At 41.6% G+C, this 23,779-nt stretch overlaps 1 protein-coding gene across 40 annotated transcripts in view; it reads right to left on the reverse strand.

Annotated features, from left to right (window-relative positions):
- The window catches only part of ABLIM1 (actin binding LIM protein 1), a 370,264-nt gene that overhangs the window by 153,519 nt on the left and 192,966 nt on the right, over window positions 1-23,779 (reverse strand). For all 40 annotated transcript variants that reach the window (XM_047425242.1, XM_047425238.1, XM_047425237.1 and 37 more), the window contains 1 exon segment: window positions 17,199-17,333. In XM_047425242.1, coding sequence (XP_047281198.1) covers window positions 17,199-17,333 — 135 coding nt within the window.

Consider the following 23,779-nt stretch of genomic DNA (forward strand, 5'->3'; position numbering starts at 1 on the left):
ATGCATTGTTCTGAAAGCAAATACTAAGCCTCAAAAAACATATTTTAAGAGTGTTTCACATTAACTTCTAAATTCACATCAAAATCAATTATCATTTCTGGGAAAGATGATAGTTACAAGCTCAACCAGATGATAAAACGGGCCCCACAGCCAGGCATTTGAGAGTTTGTATTTAATTCAGAGTTTGAATTTACAATATTAAGTAAAGAGCCCTGATTGGAAAGAAATCATTTTGAAACCTCTATTTATTAATAAAATCTTTGACTGCACAGTAAACTTGTTGTTTAACCTGTTGTAGAACTTCGTGTCCAAACAATATTAATTATAAACAGCTCAAGAAACAATGATATCATACAGAAATAAATATTCTCACTCAGTTTTTTTTTTGCTTTCTAAGATTTGGCCCATAACAGAAAAATAAGTATTAAAGTCTTCTACCATTGCACAGATTACTTTAATATCAGGCATTAGGGCTGAAAATATGCACAAGAAAGAAATGAATGGCTGGCTATTCTTAATAGGAACGACCTTGCTAACCCCAGGGAATTACATTTCAAACTAGGCCACACATTTAAATTTTGGACTCAAAGGTAAGTTTTATTAACGTCTACATTCTCTACTATTCCTTTCCCTTTTTTAGTCTCCAGATACACGACCATACATACATGGATGACAAGATACATAAAAGGTCATGTATCTTTGCCTTTTATAAACTCCAGGCACAAGAGACAGCCCCAGCCATAGCTGTATGTGTGTCTATAAACTGACCTTATAAAAAAACAAAGGCACAAACACCATTTTTTGTCAACAACTACAGGAAATCATTAGCATGGGGTCTATTATCCCTCCTAATGGGCTCTTTTTCTCTAGTTGCTCCCCTGCCCGATCTCCCCTGCTTACCTCTTCCAAATCAATATGGTAAAGACGATGCTTTCATCAACAGGTTTTCCTGCTCTACTTTGCCAAATGCTTTGATCTTGCATGTAAGCCCCCCACATCTTCCAAACATTCATCTGACTCTTCCCAAACACCAGCACTTTACTCCAGTCAATCTCCTCAGCACCCCACTGACATTCTTTTTACCACTATGGTGATGCCAACTTCACCCAGGCTCCCGGCCCCTCTCAGGTTCACCCTCATGGCAAAGCTCACAGCCTCCTCCAGTCCCCCAGGCCTCTGCATCCTTGAGACACAAAACAATGATTGACATCTGGCCTTTAATATGATCTCTTGTGATACTCCATCCACTGTCACTATGATTGTCTCCTCGTCTCGACTGCAAGCTTACTGAAGGCAAAGACCACTTCTTATGCTTTATGTCTTCCACAATACTTACAGAGATGGACAATTATTTTTCTTAACCCCCTATTTCATGCTACTTTAAATCAGGCTGGTGTCTGGACCCTGTGTCCAGAGCCAAGTTCCTCTGGCATAGCATCAGGTAAAGGGCATTTCTGCATGACTTTAAGCCAGTAATTCCATCTTTGCCCCTGAAACTACCTAACTGGCATCAAAATAGTGGTGCCAAGGTAGAAACTTCACTCATCTTCCAACTTCTCTAGTCTCCTAAGGCTCTTCTCAACTCTTTCAGCAACTGAAATTGACCACCACTCAATAACCTAACAGACAATTTCCATTCACATGTGCTGTGTATAGCGCTGGGCTATGCTCTACTTTGTGTTTAGCTATACTAAGAAGGCCCTGATTACAGAGAACAAGACTGTGGCTAGTTAAGTGCACCATGGTTTAAGGTGAATGAGAAGAAACTAGAATGGGATCACAGGGTAACAACAGGAATAATTAAAGGGTTGGGAAGGAGCACTTTAAAAAAGTAGATAGGATTAGACCAAAGAAAAAGAAGTCAGGGTAATGATGGTCTTTAAGTATATCATGGGTTCTTTTAAGGAAATCAATGATCAACTCTTTTCCATCTGAGGACAAAATGGGAAAGCATTTGTTTTACATGTACTAAGAGATGTGGGTTACATAAACTCTAACCTTGAAGGCAATTGCAAATGAGAGCAGGCTCCGGAAGAGAGCTATTCTATCTCTTTGGTTCAGAAATATTTGATAGAATAAATGGCACATCTATCCAGGACAGCCAGCACACTCATCCTTGCGGATATGGACAAGATGATCATGCTATTTTCCTGACCTAAATATCTAGGTGAAATCCCAGGGATTACAAGCAATGAAAGGAAGTCCAAACTCATCATTTTAACTACTTTCCAAAACTCCATTTCAGAAATGATATATAGTTAGTTCTTATACGTTAGGAATTAGATAATACAATTTTTCCTAAAAAAATGAAACATAGAAAACCCTTAATCTGTATCTTCAACTGCCTACCCCCATCTTCATCCACTTTACTCTACAAATATCCATGCACTTTATAAGTTCACATGTCCTACATAGAATGATCCTGACCTGGTAAACATCTTAGCCTAAAATGGCAAAAATGGAAAGTACGATTGGAGATGGGATACTTTTCCCAAGCTTTTCATAGAACACAATCTTTTAAACAGGCTAATTCTTGAAAAATGTATTCCAACTCATTGTTGTAATCTGAATTTTCTAATAGCTTTAGATGAACACTTTTGATATTCATGGGCTGTCTTGATGGATTGAAAATTACAGATAGAGGAGCAAGGGATTAAAGAAGCTATCAAAAGATATCATTTCCCACACCCTCTACACATAGTTAAGACTCACACTGCTAAGTGGTAACAGACTCTATCAAAATATCATTCTATTCTATATAAGGATTTCTGCTGGTGCTACCCTGAAAGAAGAGCTTACATGATCTGATTTTTTTTTAATTTTCCACAGATGCCCAGTGTTCAGAATTCTCTTTAAAATAATATGGCTATAAATAACATATAAAACTACTTCCATTTTTGAAAGGGAATAATGTTATTCTAATTAATGTTTAAAGTGCCATCTTTTCAAGAACAATAGGAGCATCACGGTTCCATTTATTTCTAGTAGAAAGTTTGCTTGTTCAAATTAAGGTAACTGTCAACTCTAGCCACACCTGTGTCCTCACCGCCCACTGTCCTGAACAAGGCAGCCCCCACACCTGACTATGCCTACCATGCTCCCCTCTTTAGTCCTGGGAAGGCTATTCAGTTTTCTGGAGGTTTATGTTCAAATCTTGTTTCCTGCTTGGCAACATCCCCAGACCAATGAGACTGAGCTCTAAGTGGTCTCTGATTCACTGGCACCTGGCATCTGAACCACTCACCTGCACCTGTCCTGCTACCAGCTATGCTTCCACAAGTAAGCACCTTGCTCTCCAGCTCACAGGTTCTTTAGGGGTAGGTACCATGTTATGTATACCTTTCAACCCATCATATTTATATGACCATTTGAATGTCTGATTAATATCCCTATGAAGGCAGAGATCACGTCTGTATATAACTTGATTATGTATAACTTATTTTTGAGTGCCTGAGCACTCAGAATTTATGCTATGCCCCTAGCTTAACCAGGGTTTTCATCATTGATGATCATTTGATTTCAATTTTCAACTTTGAACTTCTGGGTGCAGAAAAATTGTACGATAGGGAGTTTCTCACTCTTGCTCCTTTGCTCCTCCTCAGAATCACAGGGCACACCTGGGTACCAGGACGTTTCCCATCTCCCCATAGCCAGTCAGGTAAGGGTAGAGCATGAGTTCTGTCTATTCTTTAGTTGAGTGTTTCTTACCTACATTCTACATTTAATGAGGCTGTTTTGAAAAAAAAGCCCAATTCCAGGGAATTTCCTAGGCCACAAAGGCCATGATCAGAGAACCTTTATCTAGATGGAACGGAACAGGTAGCTGAAATACTCTCCTTTTTTTCTTTTTCTTTCTTTCTTTTTTTTTTTTTTTTTTTTTTTTTGAGACAGAGTCTTGCTCTGTCTCCCAGGCTGGAGTGCAATGGTGCCATCTCAGCTCACTGCAACCTCTACCTCCACAGTTCAAGCAATTCTCCTTCCTCAGCCTCCTGAGTAGCTGGGACTACAGGCAGGAACCACCATGCCTGGCTAATTTTTTTGTATTTTTAGTAGAGATGTAGAGATGGGGTTTCATCATGTTGGCCAGGCTGGTCTCAAACTCCTGAACTCAAGTGATCCACCAGCCTCGGCCTTCCAAAGTATCGGGATTACAGGCATGAGTCACCGCGTCTGGCCTGAAATACTCTTTCTTTTGTCCTTTTCATGGACCTATATTTTTTCCCCCCTCCATCACCCCACTACCAATTCAAGCTAGAAACTTCCTGCCCTATGTCCAACAAAGCAGTGGTTCTCAACCTTGGAATATTTAATTTATGTACCGCATAATGATATTTCAGTCAACAACAGATTGCCTGTACAATGATGGTCTCATAAGATCATAATGGAGCTGAAAAATTCCTATCACCTAGTGACGACTTGGCCTAGTATAATGTGTACATTTATGTTTTAGTTTAACAAAAAAAGTTCTAAAAGTTTTAAAAACACAAATTTTAAAGATAGAGAAAAGCTTATAGAACAAGGATATTAAAAAAGAAAATTTTTTGTATAGCTGTACGATGCGTGTGTGTGTCTGTGTGTGTGTGTGTGTGTTTTTTTTTTTTTTTAAGAGACAGGGTCTTTGCTGGGCACAGTGGCTTATGCCTATAATCCCAGAACTGTGGGAGGCTGAGGCAGGTAGATCACCTGAGGTCAGAAGTTTGAGACCAGCCTGGCCAGCATGGTGAAACCCGTCTCTCCTAAAAATACAAAAATTAGCTAGGTATGGTGGTGCACACCTGTAATCCCAGCTACTTGGGAGGCTGAAGTATGAGAATTACTTGAACCTGGGAGGCAGAGATTGCAGTGAGCCAAGATCACACCACTGCACTCCAGCCTGGGCAATAGAGTGAGACTCTGTCTCAAAAAAAAAAAAAGAGAGAGAGAGAGAGGGGCTTGGTATGTTGCCCAAGCTGGAGTGCAGTGGCTAATCACAGGTGCGATCATAGTCCATTACAGCCTTGAGCTACTGGGCTCACTTGATCCTCCTGCCTCAGCCTCCTGAGTAGCTGGGACAACAAATGTGTGCCACCATGCCTGGCTCTTTCTTTTTTCTTTTTTTAGAGTTTGTTTTAAGCTAAATGTTTTACAAAAGAGTCAAAAACTTTTTAAAAATAAGGTTTATAAAGTAAAAATTACAGGGAGCTAAGGTTAATTTATTAGTAAAGAAAAACATTATTTATAAATGTAGCATAGTCTATGTGTACAGTGTAGATAAAGTCTACAGTAGTGTACAGTAATGTCCTAGGCCTTCACAGTCACTCCCCACTCACTCACTGACTCACATAGAGCAACTTCAGCCCTGTAAGCTCCATTCGTGGTAAGTGACCTATACTGGTGTACCATTTTTAGTTTTTATACCGTATTTTTACTATACCTGATCTATATTTAGATATGTTTAGATACACAAATACTTACCATTGGGTTACAATTGCCTACAAAATTCTGTCCAGTAACATGCTATACAGCTTCATAGCCTAGGAGTAATAGGCTACACCATATGGCCTAGCTGTACAGTAGGCTATACCAGCTAGGTTTGTGGAGGTAGACTCTATGATGTTCACACACAATGGAATGACCTAATGATGTGTCTCTTAGAACATACCCCCATTGTTGAGTGACATAAGATGTACTTACTTAAGAAGCTGGTTGAAAATGCTAGACCCCAACCACGGAGATGCTGACCGTGAGACTGGAGGTGAGAGGTCAGGAATGTGAACCATTAATCAGCGTCTGGGTCACTCTGAGTTAGGTTCTTCTTGGTCCACACTTTATGAACTCTGCACTAAAGAGTTTTAGAAGTTTAACCCCTTTCCAATTAGCTTTTAAACTGTATACATAGTATTTCCTGATACTTGATATCTACTGAGGTTCTCCGTACTTCTCACTAAAGGTTCTGCTACTTGTAATGTGAATAAGGAGAAACCCAGGGTTTTAGTTAGTTTTAGTTCTGCAGGCATAGCAGAAAGCCTGTCACTGATGCTGAGGTAAGTTGTAAATACTCTCTCCTGGAAGGAAAGTGAGATCCACCCTTTGCCTTGCCCAGGCTTTTCATGGCAGATAGTGGGACATTGGGGACCTACAGGGAAAGGATGAAGAAGTCAATTTGAAGGTACCCCCAAAGGCCACTTCCATCACAGAGAAAGCCTACTCCAAACCCTTCTGCATGGGTTTAATATGGACAAAAAAATTTTAAGGTGCTTATTTCATTTGGTCTTGGTTGATCTTATCAAGGAACCCTCCTTTTGTCCTCTGCCTCCCACTTGGTCTAGAATACCTCTCTAGACACCATCAAAATCCCTTCTCAGATTAAATGAAAGAAAATCATGGCCAACATAGAGTCAACTCTTACATCACACTTTTCAACTACAATACAAATTTCACTAATTCAATCTAATTAGTGGGAGACCAATCTCACCATAATAGTTCAACTGTCTCACTATATTTATGCAAGTGCAGTTTTTCTACTTCTCAATAGATGTCATGGCTATAATATGGTAAAGTTGACTCTGAAGACTACATTGAAAATGACATCATCACTTCAGATGCAAATTCAAGCATGCCATCAGGATGGGTGTTTCTTGGAATTTCCCAGTTTCACTCAGATACTACCTTCACTGTTATTTGCCATAGTTTTTATCTACCTATTTTATTTCCTTAATTTAAAAAAATCAGTTTATGTTTATTAAATATGACTATTTAAAAAGACAAGTATATACCACTGTCATAAGTCAATAGCCAGTTATCATTTCCTCTATATATAATCTGTAGAAACAAATATTAAATGGTATAATTAAATTTGAGCTTTGATACCATTGTCTGATAAAATCCCTGGGCCTGAAAGCTGTTCTATCTTTGTTATAAAGATATTCTGCTTCATGAAATTAGAAGGATAAAAAAAGGATTAAAGAGAGAATACTTTCTCACTGTGTGAAAAAATGCTGCGTCTGGGAACCGCAAAAAAAAATTCTTCTTTCTCATACTTAACAAAAATATCAACTGAAACCAAGTCTTAGCGACCTGGATTTAATAATTTGTAAATAACTATCTATAAATAGTACAGGCTATCCTCTCTTATCTGAAACACCTGAGACCAGAAGTATTTCAAACTTTGGATTTTTTTTCAGATTTTGGAATATCTGCATTATATACTTCCTGGTTGAACATCCTTAATTCAAATATCCGACATCCAAAACACTCTCATGAGCACTTCCTTTGGGTGTCCTGTTAGCCCTCAAAATGTTTTAGAGTTTTGGAGCATTTCAGATTTGAAACTTTTGGATTGGGGATATTCAACCCATATATCACTCAATGATAAACATTTCAATCATTCAAGTCAATAAATATTATTGAGTGTCCCCTATAAGTTTGGCTTTTTTCCTAAGAATTGCTAATACAAACTCCCTGCCCCACTGGTGCCTACATTCTTGTCAGGGGACACAGGCAATACACAAATAAACCATACATAACTTATATAATATATAAATACATATATATGTGCACACACATACACAGTTATGTACACATATACATATCAGATGGTGTCAAGGATGGCCTTATTGATAAGTGACATTTGAGAAGAAACCCAAAGGAGGTATGGGAGAGCACCAAGCACACATATCCAAGTGAAGAGCTTGTCAAGGCAAAGAAATAGTAAGTGCAAAGGTCCTGAGGCTATTTGGTACTTGGTTTGTTTAAGAACGTTCAGGAAGGACAGCAGAATTCAGCAGAGTGAAACAGGAAGAAAATGGTGGGAGATGAGCTCAGAGAGTAACAGTGGGGAGGGGATTTGAAGGTCAAATTGAGGTCTGTGGATTTCATTCCAAAAGATGAGAAGTTCTTGGGAAAGGTGACAGGATCTGACCTTTTTCTAAGGATCATCTTAGCTGTTGCATTGAAAATAAACTGAGGGAAAAGTGGGGTGGGACTGTGGGTAAAGGCAGATGCAGAGAGACCCGCTAAAATTCTTAATCCAGGCAAGAGGTAATGGTGGCTTGGACCAGGGTGCTTATCTTTGGGATAATGATAAATGGTCAGATTTTGTACATACTATGAAGATGGGGCCATCAGGATTTGTTGATGGATTATTTGTGGCACATGAGAGAAAAAGAGAAGTTAAGAATGACTCTAAGGCTCTTAACCTGAGCAAGTGGAAGGAAAGTCTTGATATCTGCTGAAATTAGAAGGCTGAAGAAGAAGGTTGGGGTGGGTATGGGGCTAGTAATCTGGAGAGTTTGGTTTGAGATGTCTACTGGAAATGCTGAGAAGGCTGTTGAAGATACTAGTCTGGAATGCAGAGAAGTACAGACTTGGGAATTGTCAGGGAACAGATGGTGTTTAAACCATGAGACTGGATGAGGTCACTCTGAGTATGGGGTACTCAATGGTTCAGGGCCAGGAGATAAGAAGAACCAGCAATATAAGTTGTGAAACGCTTATTTTAAAAATGATTGATGAAAATTTCAATTTTCTTCCTTCTATAGTACAAACTGTCTCATAACCTTGGTTGTACTAATCGTTTTCTTAGATAATTTGTTCTTCCTTGATAAAGCTGGGTGAACTTCGGCATGCCTTTCCTCAAGAAATAAGCATTCATAGACATGACCTTAGAGTTGTCAAGAACTGTAAAAGAATCTGAGATTTTACCCTACTTGCAAGCTAACAAGTTCACCTGCTCCAATATAATGGATACTGGCAGAAGACATGAAACTCCTGGATCAGAAACAAAAGAATCACAGCACAGCAGGCAGCATGAGTTTTGTATTTGTTACTGGTTTCTCCATGCTCCCCAAATCCCTTGGGGCAACATTAGTAGGCTAGCTGGATGCTGCAGTCTCAGTGGGTTTGTATAAGAGCTGAGGAAACCTGAGCCTAGGAAGCCCCACTCTTGTATAATGAGTTGCAAGAAAACCTGCCCAATACTTCCTCCAGAGGCAGACATTATCTTTATTGTACTAGACAGCAAACAAATCTGCCCTTGACTCTGGAGGGAAAAACTATTTCTATCTTCCAGGGCTGTTTGTTGTGCAAATGACCTTGAAAAGATAATTCAAAACAAAAAGTTATCAGCACCTCAGCTCACAAGAGACTCATGGATAATTATCTGCCAACAAGAGTCAAAATCAGTAAGCAGTGTTATTTTGGAAAGATTACAAGACCTTACCCTGTTCCAGTTTGGAATTCAAAACCTAAATGTTTTAAAAACTAAATTATATTTATTTGACAAGGTAACACTTCAACATGGCAACAAATTCAAAAAATAAAGTACTCAGGATCATCCTTTACTAAACAAAGACAGTATGAAAGTGGGTTCCCACTTGCAGTAAGAAGCGAGCACATTTATATCACACTTATGTTTCTCTCATTTTGGTTAACCTGCCTTTTAATCAGTTTGTGAATGACTAAGATTCTCTAGATAGGTAATAAAAGGATGAGCTCTGCTTTTGGAGAATGCAATAAACTACTTCTATTTTTCTGGTGTTTCATCAGTTTTCTAGTTTTGCCCCAAAATAACCCATATCCAGTCTGTCCCTGTGAGCCCAGATGAGAAAGCTAAGGGTCTAAACCAGAGTGAAACTAAGCAGCAGCAACAGTTTAACCAAGAACTGCCTGAGCATATGTTTCCTTACCTGTGGTATCTGCCAGGCAGGCTTGTAGCTCAGTCATCTGTGATAGATATCTTTACTTGCACTCTTTCTTTTCAGAAGATAATGTTACTGTCTAGTAGCCATTGGAAGACATACATTATAGTAAAGCAATTGATAAATCTTTGTGACTAGCTATGCCATTAAAAACATTTACCAGGCTGGGTGCGGTGGCCCATACCTGTAATCCCAGCCCTTTGGGAGGCAGAGTCAGGTGGATCACCTGAGGTCAGGAGTTTCAGACCAGCCTGGCCAACATGGTGAAACCCCATCTCTACTAAAAATACAAAAATTATCTGGGCATGGTGGCGAGTGCCTGTAATCCCAGCTATTAGGGAGGCTGAGGCAGGGGAATCGTTTGAACCTGGGAGGTGGAGGTTGCAGTGAGCCAAGACTGTGCCACTGCCCTCCAGCCTGGACAACAGAGTGAGACTCTGTCTCAAAACAAAACAAAACAAAACAAATTTATGAATAACCAAGTTCTAAATAAACATATGGTTATTGTTCATTCATTCGTTCACCTTATGAGTACCTGCCATATCAGGCATTGTTCTAGGCACTGGGTTTATAGTAAACAAAACAGACAAAAATCTCTGCCCTCAAAGAGCTTACTCTCTAGTAGGAGGTGAAGATAAATTAATACAATGTATTAAATGATGCAAAAGAAAAAAGATAAGGCAGGGACATGTGATATAGGGAGTAGTTGATTTTATATATGGGACAGCCCAGGAAAGGATCACTGAAAACAGACAATTTGGCTGAACAATCTTGATTCTCTGGGCAGTCTCCTTGGTCCTTGGTCTTTTCTAAATGGTCTAGAAGTTTCTGGCAAAAAAAAAAAAAAATAGATCTTGGTCCTTACCCTGAAAAATGCTCATGATAAATGACAATAGTTATAATGAATTATAGATCAAAATAATGAACAAAATATATAACATGTATACTTAAAATGAACTATAATTCACATTTAAAGAGACATTTAGAAATGCCAGACAGTGCTAATTTGTCCTTTGTTAGAAGCAATTCCCCCAGAGAAGAATCTGCACAAATACCAACACATTCAAATCCAAATAGAGATGAATGCTTCCCTTTTGTTTTCAGGTTTCTTATTCTCTAATACAGCGTAAAATACAACCATGATACAGACAAAGTAAAACATTAAAAACCTATCACTGGAACGATATGACAGAATGAACAGATCACATTAAAACAACTCCTTTAAGTTAGTGGGATGAAGGCTGTAATGGACAAGGATGAAAAACAAAGTGAATACTGAAGATAGAATAGCTCCACTCAGAACCCTGCAGCCATGTTCTACTCCCACTGGGTTATTATAAGAAATACCATAAGCTTTTGGGATCTGCTTTTCATTTAATTACAGAATCCATCCATCAATTAAACCACTTCCTTCATCTAATTACCACCCGGGTACATTTTCTGAGGTGACAAATGGGAATTAGGTTCTCCTTCCTTCAGATGCTGCCATCTTCCAGTATTCAGTTCCTGCCTTTTGCTCTTTCCCAGGGAAATTTCACACACAGTTATATAGCTTCAGCCATTATCCACATGCCAAAGGCTTCCAAATTCTTCTTCCCAACATAGACCACTATTTCAGAGCCCTACTGGACTCTGGATGTACCATGTTACTCAACCTCAATATACCCCAAACTGAACTCATCTTTCTCCAGCACTGCCCTGCAAGGTGCTTCTATATTTTCTTAGTTGGTGGCAACTCCATCTATCTACCCAGGCAGCTCAGCTGGACATGTGGATCCCTCTTCACTCCTCCCATTCAGTCAGTCATCAAATTCTATCAACCCTAACTTTGTCTCTTAAATCTTCTATTTTCTATTGCACCTGCTACTGCCTTACACTATTCCCACCTGTGGCTCTCCCCATCTCCATTCTAACTCCCCTGTGGCCCTCCTGGCCTGCATGCTATGCATCTCTCCATCACAGGACTTATTACTTGGTCTCATAAATGTTGCTTACTTGTACGTCTCTTCTAATACCCCAGGAGTTCCTTGACAACCTGGTATGCTGTCTCTATTATTAGCACTTAGCACAGTGTCCTGCATGGAGTATGTGTTCAATTAACATTTAGTAAATGGGCCTGGCGTGGTGGCACATGCCTGTATTCCCATCTACTCAGGATCACTTGAGCTCAGGAGTTTGAGACCAGCCTGGGCAACACAGCGAGACCCCCCATCACAAAATACAACATGTAGTAAATGGATGAGTAACTCATGAACCATCAGATCCCACAATGTCAGGCATTTTAGAAAGTGAGATGAGTTCACCAACACAATTTCTGCTCACCAATCCCTACCTTGTCACAGCTAAACCTGTGAAGTTATGGGGTCTGAAACTGATCTAAGTTTGTGCTATCAACTCTAACTCCTCCATCGCAACCCTTTCCCACCTTCATATTTGTTTAGCTCTTGTGTAAAATGTTCAGTGTCCCCTTTCTCCTTTTTTTCAAAACCTATTTTTAGCAAAAAGAGTTCATCCTTGCTTTTCATTCCCAAACTCATTTACATCTTTGGCCTTTCTTTCTAGGGGAAATCAACCTCTGCCCCCACTCAAGAAATAGAAGGCTTTGTTGACAAGGTATACATGTGAAGGAGAGGCAGGTGGGAGGGAGGGAAGGGAATTCCAGGGAGAAAGCTTTGCTGGACTCGAGGTCACAGTCAGAACTGGAATGTGCCTCCTGTGCACTCAGCCAGGTCTTGACCAAAAGCCCGGGCTTGTTTTGGCACATGCTCCCCACCCAAAATCCTCTGTCCCAGGACATCAGCTCAGTACCCGAACATCGCCACTCTAGGTGAAACAGGAAGAAAACGAAAATGTTGTTTTAGGACTTGGCTGCAATTGGGTCACTTGGGCTAGGAGGAAGACAGCATTCCTCAGGTAAAAGACTGCTATTGCTGCTGGGACTTATAAAAAGTAAAGACGCTAAGGAAATTCAGAGTGCTGATCTGATTAGGATGGAGAGAGAAGGGTCTTTGGAGAGAGAAGCATCTTTGGAGAGAGAGCAAGCCCTGTCAAGATGGTGCAGATGAGGTTTGGAATAAGTCTGAAAAATGGCCCTGGCTTGTACTTTCTGATCAATTTTCCCATAAACCTAAAACTGCTCTAGAATGAAGGAAAGAAATGAAAGAAGGAAATGAAAGAATGAAAGAAAAGAAAAGAAGGGAAGGGAAGGGAAAGGAAGGAAGGAAAAGGAAAGAAATAGAATGGAATGAGAAGGGAAGAAAAGGAAAGGAAAGGAGGAAAGAAAAGAAAAACAAAAAGAAAAGAAAATAAATGAAAAGAAAAGAAAAGGCTCTAGCTAATGAGAAATGTCTCGTGTCAGAGATGGCCTGAGAATACGAGGGCAGTTGGTGCCTATTCTGTGCTGTGACCTCCCACCATTAGCCTAGACCTTCAGTAAGTCTGCTGAAAACAGCTGCCTTTGGGTAGCGGTACTATGTAAGAGGAGAGAGAGGAAAAACGTGTGGGATGAAGCGATGAAAAAGGCACAGCACTCACAGGAGGAGACGAAGACTTTGACACTGGCAAGAATTTGGAGTGAGGGAACCACAGGAATGCACACCTCGAGGAATCTTTAGAACTGTGCTGTCCAATACAGTAGCCACTAACCACATGTGGCTACTGACCATTTGAAATGTGTCTAGTCCAGGCCAGGCACAGTGGCTCACGCCTGTAATCCCAGCACTTTGGAAGGCCAAGGTGGGCAGATCACCTGAGGTCAAGAGTTCAAGACCAGCCTGGTCAATATGGTAAAACCCCGTGTCTACAAATAATACAAAAAAATTAGCTGGGTGTGGTGGCACAACCCTGTAACCCCAGCTACTTGGGAGGCTGAGATAGGAGAATCGCTTGAACCCGGAAGGCGGAGGTTGCAGCGAGCCAAGATCACTCCACCGCACTCCAGCCTGGGCAACAAGAGTGAAACTCCATCTCAAAAAAAAAAAAAAAAAAAAAGGAAATGTGCGGCCGGGTGCAGTGGTTCATGCCTGTATCCCCATGCTTTGGGAGGCCAAGGCAGGCGGATCACAAGTTCAAGAGATAGAGACCATCCTGGCCAACATGATGAAAACTCGTCTCTACTTAAAAAAATACAAAAATTAGCTGGGTGTGGAGGTGCACACCTGTAGTCCCAGCTACTCAGGAGGCTGAGGCAGGAGAATCCCTTGAACCTGGAAGGCAGAGTTTGCAGTGAGCTGAGATCACGCCATTGCACTCCAGCCTGGCAACAGAGTGAGACTCTGTATCAAACAAACAAAACAAAATAAAAACAAAAACAAACAAAAAAAGAAATGTGTCTAGTCTAAATTGAGATGTGTTAAGGTGGCATGAAAAAAAAGAATGTCAAGTATCTCAATACTTTTTATATTACTTGTTGAAATGATAATATTTTAGATAGGGTTAAATAAAATATTTTAATGAAAATTAACTACACCTTTCCCTTTTAACCTTTTCAATATGGCTATCAGAATATTTAGAATTATACAAGTGGCTTGCATTTTTTTTTTAATTTATTTTTTAAGTTTTGGGGTGCATGTGCAGGATGTGCAGGTTTGTCACACAGGTAAACGTGTGCCAGCTTGCATGATATTTCTACCTGAAGCACTTCACCCTTGCAAGTCTCCCCACAGTTATAGCAGTGATGACAGTGCTGCTCTAGAATCTTGGGAAAAGTCACAGACTCCCTACGGGATAAGGCATGGGGAACCTAAACCACTTTCTTCAGATATTAAAGAAAAGTGTGATTCCAGAATGTTGGGACACAAGATAGTAGCCATTGCCAGATTAAGTGTGAGAAAATATAAATTTATAAGGATAGATGACTCATTTATTTTAGTAACATTTTGTTAAATTGAAAAATAATTCCTACAGATAGCAAGTATTCTTAAAATAGAATTTAATTTAAACAAAAACTCAACTTTTCAAGAACACATTTATAGCATGAAACAAGATATATGATACAACTTTCCAAGATGAGGAATTTACATTTGGTCCATAGAATTAAACTAAAAGAGAAAAAAAGCAAGGAGCTTTCACCCCACAGGGGATAAATGAATGTCTCTTCAAATACCGTGATGTGTTGAACAGTGAGTGCCCAGATCTGAGTCTACTACTTCATACTTTCAAAGTAGAAATATAAAATATATAGAGAGCTTGGTGCAGTGGCTCACGCCTGTAATCCCAGCACTTTGGGAGGCTGAGGCAGGAGAATCCCTTGAGATTAGGAGTCTGAGACCAGCCTGGCCAACATGATGAAACCCCATCTCTGCTGAAAAAAAACCACACACACACACAAAAATTAGCTGGGCACGGTGGCAGGTACCTGTAATCCCAGCTACTTGGGAGGCCAAGCCAGGAGAATTGCTTGAACCTAGGAGGCGGAGGTTGCAGTGAGCTGAGATCACACCACTGCACTCCAGCCTGGCAACAGAGTGAGACTCCATCTCAAATAAATAAATAAATAAATAAATAATAAAATAGAATAAATAAAATAAAAAATATATGTGGCTGCAGTCATTTATGGATTGTATTTATTTCATACCAAATCTATCCTTTGAGCCATGTCTCAATAAATTTATGAGAAAAAATAAAAATACAATGCTGACTCCAAGTTAGCTAAACTGGATATAACTAGAAAACATTTTTTCTCTGACATACCCCCTAAGAAGCTCTAATTGGGTTCTATATTAATATACAATTATCTGGTATATGGAACCTGCAAACTTCAGACCTGGGATGATACAAGTTTCATATGGTCTAGTCTCCTTATTTTACAGATAAGGACACTGAGCCACAGAGAGACAAGTAACTTGTCCACAATCAGACAGCTGCTTAATGGCAAGGCAGGACTCAAGCCACACAACGTGACAGCCCAGCACCCTGGGTGTGACCTTGATATTTCCTCATGGCCATCTTGGGTTGGGTGAAAACTGGGGTTTATCATACTTACTCACAGGGGTTTTCAGGAGGATTAAATAATCCCTCTGAGATGTGGACACAGCATTTGTAACGCTTGTCATGCGCTGAGCATTGAGCTCATTTGAGGGAGTTAAGCTCATGCCCTCCACTCCTTCCACCTTCTTACCCTAGCTACACATGCTAGTGTTCTTTCTCCTGAAAACTTTACTCTCAGTGTAAGGAACAGCTGTGGACTCCAGGAAAGCACTCCCTCCTCCTTTATTCATGTATTTCGTGGTCACTAGGAAGACTGGAACCTACCCAAGAGCCCCCGTGGCCATGGATAGATGGCTTAGGATGACAATGCTAAGTCTTTGTGACGTATGACACTCAAAATGAAACCCAGTTTCCAGAAATGAAGGTGCGTACCACAGGCAGGGCATAGGAATGAGGGTCCTTACCCCGTGCAGGGCACAGAGTAAATCTACAGAGTGCACTCTGAGTCTCGCCTCCCTTCCTTCTCTGACATCCTTGAACCCCATCTTGAGCTACCCAGACATGCCCTCAGCCCAAGTAACCTATTTATCAAACAAACACACAAAACCATTCTTCTTCCTGTTTTTCCCCAGTTGGCCATGCCCTGGCTCTGAAATAACAGGTTGGCATATTTCATACAAAGATGCCAATCTTTGTAAACCCCAAAAGGTAGGCTTGTTAATGGAAATCAACACCAAACTGGTAGCTTCTTGGATGGCAGGTCTTTTTCTGCTTAGAGGTCTCCCAAGTGTTGTTGCTTAATTCTCACATCTCAATACACACACACACACACACACACACACACACACACACACACACACACACACACACACAGAAGCCAGTGACTTGGCACCCAATCTTCCAAGCTTTCCAGGCCTCCTATAACTAATGGGTATTAGGACAAGCTACTTTGTAGTAGGAGTTCTTCACTTCAGAGAAAAAGAAAAAATAAGGCAAAAACCACAGAACTGTATTTTTACTGCTCTTTCTTTCTTTTTTTTTTTTTTTTAAGACGGAGTCTCACTCTTGTTGCTCAGGCTGGAGTGCAATGACACAATCTCAGCTCACTGCAACCTCTGCCTCCCGGGTTCAAGCGATTCTCCTGCCTCAGCCCTCCAGAGTAGCTGGGATTACAGACGCCCACCACTGCACCCAGCTAATTTTTTTATTCTTAGTAGAGACGGGGTTTCACTGTGTTGGCCAGGCTGGTCTCGAACTCTTGACCTCAGGCGATCCACCCGCCTCAGCCTCCCAAAGTGCTGGGATTATAGGCGTGAGCCGGCCTTTTTACTGCTCGTTCTCAGTGTTAGTCCCTTCTTCCAGGAGAAGGGGCCTCAGTGAGCACCCAAAGGCCCACGAATCACTGGTTTTAGCAGGACTCGTTCTCGCCCTAGAGTCTAACTGAATCCCAAACTGGCAGTAAATGATGTCAGGGCTTCTGAGAGCATTCGCTTATCATCCAGTGACCGGATGTGGAGTTAAGGGGATGGGCTGGACCCAAGGCAAGCCCCGACCATGGCATGCCACTGAGCCACGAAGCTGGAGGCACCATACCTTTGCAGGTGAAACACTTGATGTGGAAATGTTTGGTCTGGACCCGAAGCACTTCACCCTTGCAAGGCTCCCCACATTTATGGCAGTGAATGACAGGCTTCTCTGATGGGTGGTGAGGGTCCTGAGGGTGGGCCACTGAAAGAAAATCAACAAAAGATCCAGGTGAGTAGAGAGCATTCCTGCAAAAGGGGTCATCATGGTATCTCTGTAATTTTGGTGTCAAATGAGCCACAGAGATTGATTCGACAGTGTGAACAGAGCAGTCCCTCCAAGTCATAATCCTAGAGACACAAAGACCCATAAGACAGTTGTGGCTTTGACAGTCCCGGGGGGAAAACACCAGGCGTGTTCCTCAATGGAGCCTGCTGTCTTCTCCCTTCTTCCCAAACTTCTCTAGGATGACTTCATTGAACTATTGAATACACAATCTTGCTTAGTTCAATATTTTGTTATGTGGACTTGTAATATGCCTTTATATTGATTTAGAAGGCACCTTCAGAAGGAGTTCACTGTGGACTGTAGGTCCTTGAAGATGGGGACCATTTCTTAAAGTTTATCCTTTTTGTCTCACCAGTTGTATTTCTCCCTCCTTCCCAGCTTCTTGGGACATAGCAGAATGTTCATGTAGCAAAGGTGCTCAGTAAATGTTTCTTTACGTATTAATTAGCAGTGCTGAACAGTTTCTAGCCTGCTTTACCAGAGGGTCATTCCCGATCATAAATGGCAACTCATCTAACCTGTTGCAGGCCTATGATGAGCCTCCCATTATGTGCATAGTGTCTGATACACACACTGCAGGCAGTAAATTTTTAAAAATAAACTAGGAACAACATGGATCTCTCTGAACCTCAGTTTCCTTTCCCATAAAACAAAGGGGATTGGCCCAGGGAATTTATAGGGTCTTTTCAGACCTTAACATCACATGATGGGGCTTACAAGGATACTAAGAGAATACTAAAAGAATACTCTTAGTTTCCAGAGTGTGGCCTTCAGAGACTAGAAGTTATTGTGACTGCCCAGCCCTGGGACTGGGATGTTCAGCCTGCCCTTTACAAAGGCCCAGAGAGAAGGCAGTGAGGGGACACTTGTGGCTTTGAGCTCACCAAGAGTCTTCATTTAACTTGCAGTTTCTCCAGCTAGAGAATGCAGATAGGCAGTGTTTGCTACCAAATTCCTTTTTTGATGTGGGGCCTCAGAAGGAGGAACATGGTGATATATAAAAACATACTCCTTAAGGAATGACATGAGCATTATATGGGACAAGAACATTGAACCTAAAATTAATCAACCAACACAAAGATGATTTTCTCTCCAAAGGTAAAACCAGGTTGAGCAGGGGGTAGATGTGGGCAGATATTGCTGAAACTCAGTTTAGAAAACACCTTACAACAAGGAGCTCGCTGTATACCACAATATAATAGTTCACTGTTTCTCTCAGACCTCAGCAGTGTTCTCATTTTGCCTGGCAAGAGTTTGAACAAGATAGTCCAAATAATCCATTACTAGCTAACTTCTGAGAAACAAGGTTCTTCTTGTGAGATTCTGACTAGGAGCAGGTGTAGTTTCAGGTTGAACACCTGATCTGTGTTCTCTGCAAGGGACCCTGGGAATGGCCACAAAGATACCAAGGTTGCAATTCACCTGCAATTCCTTATCTACCTCCTGGGATCTCTCTTGAAAACCTGTATTTACAACATAACTCAGTTATTATCTAAAGGAATTAAGGAGGGACATGCTCTCAAGATCTGTAAACAATGACTGACTTTTAAAGTGATGTGTATGAAGGCCAAAAAACCTATCCCTTGCACATTAAAAAAAAAAAAAAGAAGAAGAAAAGTTTTCCTTGGCTTGGCACGGTGGCTCACACCTGTAATCCCAGCACTTTGGGAAGCCGAGGTGGGCGGATCACCTGAGGTCAGGACTTCGAGACCAGCCTGGCCAACACGGTGAAACCCCGTCTCTACTAAAAATACAAAATTAGCCTGGCGTGGTGGCACGTGCCTGTAATCCCAGCTACTCAGGGGGCTGAGGCAGGAGAATCGCTTGAACCCAGGAGGCAGAGGTTGCAGTGAGCCGAGATCGCACCATTGCACTCCAGCCTGGGGGACAAGAGTGAGACTTTGTCTCAAAAAAAAAAAAAAAAAAAAGTTTTCCTTAAAAATATCTGCCTTAAGTCCTTGTGTTTTTTAAGTTAATTCCTGCTTCTTATAAGAAAGAAGACAAGTGGTATTTATTGGCATCTACTAAATGCCACACATAGTGCAGGGTGTTTACATAAGCCACTTTATTCTATCCTCACCACCCCTCTCTCTCAGTGAAGTGAGTAATACTGTTCCCATTTGACAGTTGACAGATAAGGAAACAGAGCCGCAGAGCTGAACAACCTGCCCAAGAAGCAGAGGAAGCTGAAAGATCCACGCCCAGGCCTTTCTGACTGCTAAGTTCATGCCCCTTCCATGCTGTTTGTATAAATCAGAAAATTGTTGTAAGTCAAAAATAATTATTTTTATAAGTATTATCATTATGCCTCTAATTTATATGGCAAGTTCAAGTGCCGTTCTAAAAGCAGCAGCTAGGGCTTGGCTTGTAAAGGGGACACACGTAGCAATAAGGTTTTTGATAACTGAGCATGGCACCCAGGTGGTAACACTCAAGGCAACTCTATGGATCCCCCATATCAGAACCTTCTGTACCATGTATTAAAAATGCAGGTTCTTCAGCCCCAATGACTAGGAGTGGGAGTCAGGCATCTACCTTTTTAGTAAACTACTCAAGTGATTCTTACGCATACTCCAATTTAAGAGCTATTTCCCTTTAGAATTCAGACAATATGAATACGCCAGCTATGGAGAAGAGCTAGAATTTCAAAAGTAATTCAAAAGACCATCCTCTTCAGCAACAATATGAGAACACAGTGAATCTCTTGACTACACAGGAGAATGCATTTTTGGATAAGAAAATGCACTGCAGTTTCTCTTGACACTTGAATTTCTTATTGCTAAGCAAGGCAGTCATGCTGAGTAATGATGAGGGAAGGAAAATATCACTTCACTTCTTGGCTTTTCTCTATGTCCGAACAAAGGAGCCACTGCCAATGCTGGCACCAGCTACCAAGCTCAGAACTGGGATCAGCATCTGCATTTTGCATAAGTTTCCCTTTGGAAATATACATTACACCACAAAGTCCCCCATGCCCAGAGATGACTTGCTTTGCCTTCACCCACAGACTAGACTGTGTTTACTTGCCTTTCCTTCACACAACAGCCTAGGCATCTCAGAACAACCTATTTGTAAAGAAATGGGCTGTTCTTACTAGAGAAGGGCAGCATCCAAAGAGCAGAAGATTCAGTTCTTATTTCATCCCAACTCAAGTCAGTGTCAAGAAAGGAATATCTCTCCTTTTCCAAAACGAATAAAGAGGTTAACTTTATATAACTGTCTTTGACAGTCTGGTTGTTACCACATGTATGTTTGTTGACTCGATGCTACAATTTTGAAATATGCTGAGTCATTTCCAATACAGACATGACATTGATTCTGCACTCCCCTTATCTGCCAACTGGTTGTGCTGCAAAATTTACTTGACTGTTCCATCTTTCAAGGCCCAAGCGGTCCCTACTTATTTTACTGATAGGGAAACTGAGGAGCAAAGAGTTTACATTCCTTGCCCAAAGTCATCAGGAGTTACTGGCAGAGGCATACTTAGCACTCAGGCTCCCAGCACTTTCCACTGTACTGACTAGTCAATGATTTACCCTGGAACTTGAGCAGACACAGTTCAAACCTTCCATGGCTCATCAATTTTGTTGCCTAAATAAGGATTGTACAATGAAAAACCAAAAGCATGGCTGCACACTCTCTGAACAATGAGGAAATACCTACAAAGAGCCAAGAGTCTACCTGCCTGAAAAGGTAACGGGATTCCTCCACTGCAGAATACCCAGTTTAGAGGAATTCTCACTACTCAGCTAAAGCAGCCAATTGCATTGCTTACTGAGGAGTTTCACACTGTCTTTCAGAGTCAAGCAAAGCAGATCAGCCATGTCTCTGAACTCCAGTGCAGGACAGAAAGCAAAAATGCCATTTTTGATGTGTTACTTTTGGAATGTCTATTAACGATCTCAGGCAATGAGACTGGGGGAAGGAGACCATTAAAGAAATCCCAGTAATCTTCAGTGCAGTCAAGCAGAGGCCATGGCAGGTCATAAGAGGAAGTCCACAAAGCTAAGCAGAGTCCTTCTTTCCAAATCCAGAACTAGCCTCATCTTGCCCAAGCTACCTCTCTCTGGGGGACAGACTGTGGAACTAGACTGCCAGAAACAGAACATCTGGGAAAGCGTATTTGAAATAAAAATCTCCTTAGCAGTAGCAGGTAAATATCACAAGCCTGTGACAGAGTCCAATTTTTTATTTTATTTTTTATTTTTTGAGACAGAGTCTTGCTCTGTCGCCAGGCTGGAGTGCAGTGGTGCGATGTCAGCTCACTGCAACCTCTGCCTCCTGGGTTCAAGCAATTCTTCTGCCTCAGCCTCCCTAGTGACTGGGACTATAGGCGCACACCTCCATGCCCAGCTAATTTTTGTATTTTTAGTAGAGATGGAGTTTCCCCATGTTGGCCAGGATGGTCTTGATCTCTTGACCTTGTGATCCGCCCGCCGTGGCCTCCCAAAGTGCTGAGATTACAGGCGTAAGGCACCGCACCCAGCCCAGAGTACTCTTAGTTACAGCTTGCTCTGGGTCATCTGAAATACTCAGTATCTTGCAGGTAACATACACATTCTCCCTCTCAAGCCCCCTTCCTTCCCCACTGCACCATCACTCCCTAACCCATAAGCCTTTGGAACAACACGGTGCTTGATGGCTTCCAAAGCCCTTTCCTCTTCTCTATCTCATTTCACTCTCACAGGAGTTCTCAGGTAGGAAGAGCAGGTACTGTCAACCCCTTCTTAGAAATAGACAAACTGAGGCTCAGAGGAATGAAGTGACTCACCCAAGGTGGCGCAGCCAAGAAATAAAGAGTTGGCAGTCACCTAGTGCAGTGACTTCTAATCCAGACCTCTTTATACCAGAATAATCCCCTAATTACCAGTGCTTGAACCTTGATTCTGCCCTCTCCTTCATTTCCCAACAAATTTGTCCACCTTCACATCCCCTGTGCCTCAATCCCTTTTCTCACCCCAGCAGCCCAGGCCCTCAACTCCTTTTTCTCAGATTACTGAAAATTCCCTACGCCCTTGCACCCTTTTTTATTTTTCGAGACTGAGTTTCACTCTGTCACCAGGCTGGAATGCAGTGGTGCGATCTTGGCTCACTGCAATCTCTGCCTCCTGGGTTCAAGAGATTCCTCTGCCTCAGCCTCCCAAGTAGCTGGGACTACAGGTGTGCACCACCACGCTCAGCTAATTTTTGTATTTTAGTGGAGACGGGGTTTCACCATGTTGGCCAGGATGGTCTCCATCACCTGACCTCGTGATCCACCCGGCTCTGCCTCCCGAAGTGTTGGGATTACAGGCGTGAGCCACCGCGCCCGGCCTCTGGCGTTTTTCTCCAGATGCAACCAGCAAAGCGTATTCTACCCAAGGAGGTGCAGCCTAACTCCCCACTCCTTAAGTATGGGCTGTACATAGTGATCTCCTCCCAAAGAGCACAATGTGGATAGGAAGAAAAAAATGACTAACTTTACAATAGAGAAATCTGACAGACAATGCCCCAGCCACATGAGCAAGGTAAACATCAACAGTGATAAGTCACGTTGACAGAATGTACCTTTGATATGATGTGATGAAAATGGGCACTTTGCCTCTGTGGTCTTCCTTCCAAAAACAAAACAAAACAAAACCCATAATCCCTATGAAATCATGAGAAAAATCCCAAATGGAGGGACATTCTACAAAACAAAAACACCTGACAAGTACTCTTCAAAATTGTAAAGATCATAAAAAACAAAGAACATCTGAGAAATGATCACAGCCAAGAGGAGCCTACGGAGATGTGATGACTAAACGTAATGTGGGATCCTGGATGGGATCCCAGAACAGAGAAAGAACATTAGGTAAAAACTACGGAAATCTGAATAGTGTGGACTTTAGTTCATAACAGTGTGCCAATACGGTCCAGTAATTATAACAAGTGTGTTACACCAACGCAAAATGTTACTAACAGGGGAAACCAAGTGTTGAGTATACAGGAAATACCTGTATTATCTTCTCAATTTTTTTTATTCACCTAAAATGGTTTTAAGAAAATAAAGCTTATAGGCCGGGCACCTTGGCTCATGCCTGTAATCCCAGAATTCTGGGAGGCCAAGGTGCGTGGATCATTTGAGGTCAGGAGTTCAAGACCAGCCTGGCCAACATGGTAAGACCCACCTCTACTAAAAATACAAAAATTAGCTGGGCATGGTGGCATGTGCCTGTAGTCCCAGCTACTTGGCAGGCTGAGGCAGGAGAATTGTTTGAACCCAGGAGGTGGAGGTTGCAGTGAGGCGCGATTGCACCATTGCACTCCAGCCTGGGAGACAAGAACAAAAGTCTGTCACCAAAATAAATAAATAAATAAGATGGCCGGGGGCAGTGGCTCAT

The sequence above is a fragment of the Homo sapiens genome, chromosome 10 (genome assembly GCF_000001405.40).
Source record: "Homo sapiens chromosome 10, GRCh38.p14 Primary Assembly".
Lineage (NCBI taxonomy): Eukaryota > Metazoa > Chordata > Mammalia > Primates > Hominidae > Homo > Homo sapiens.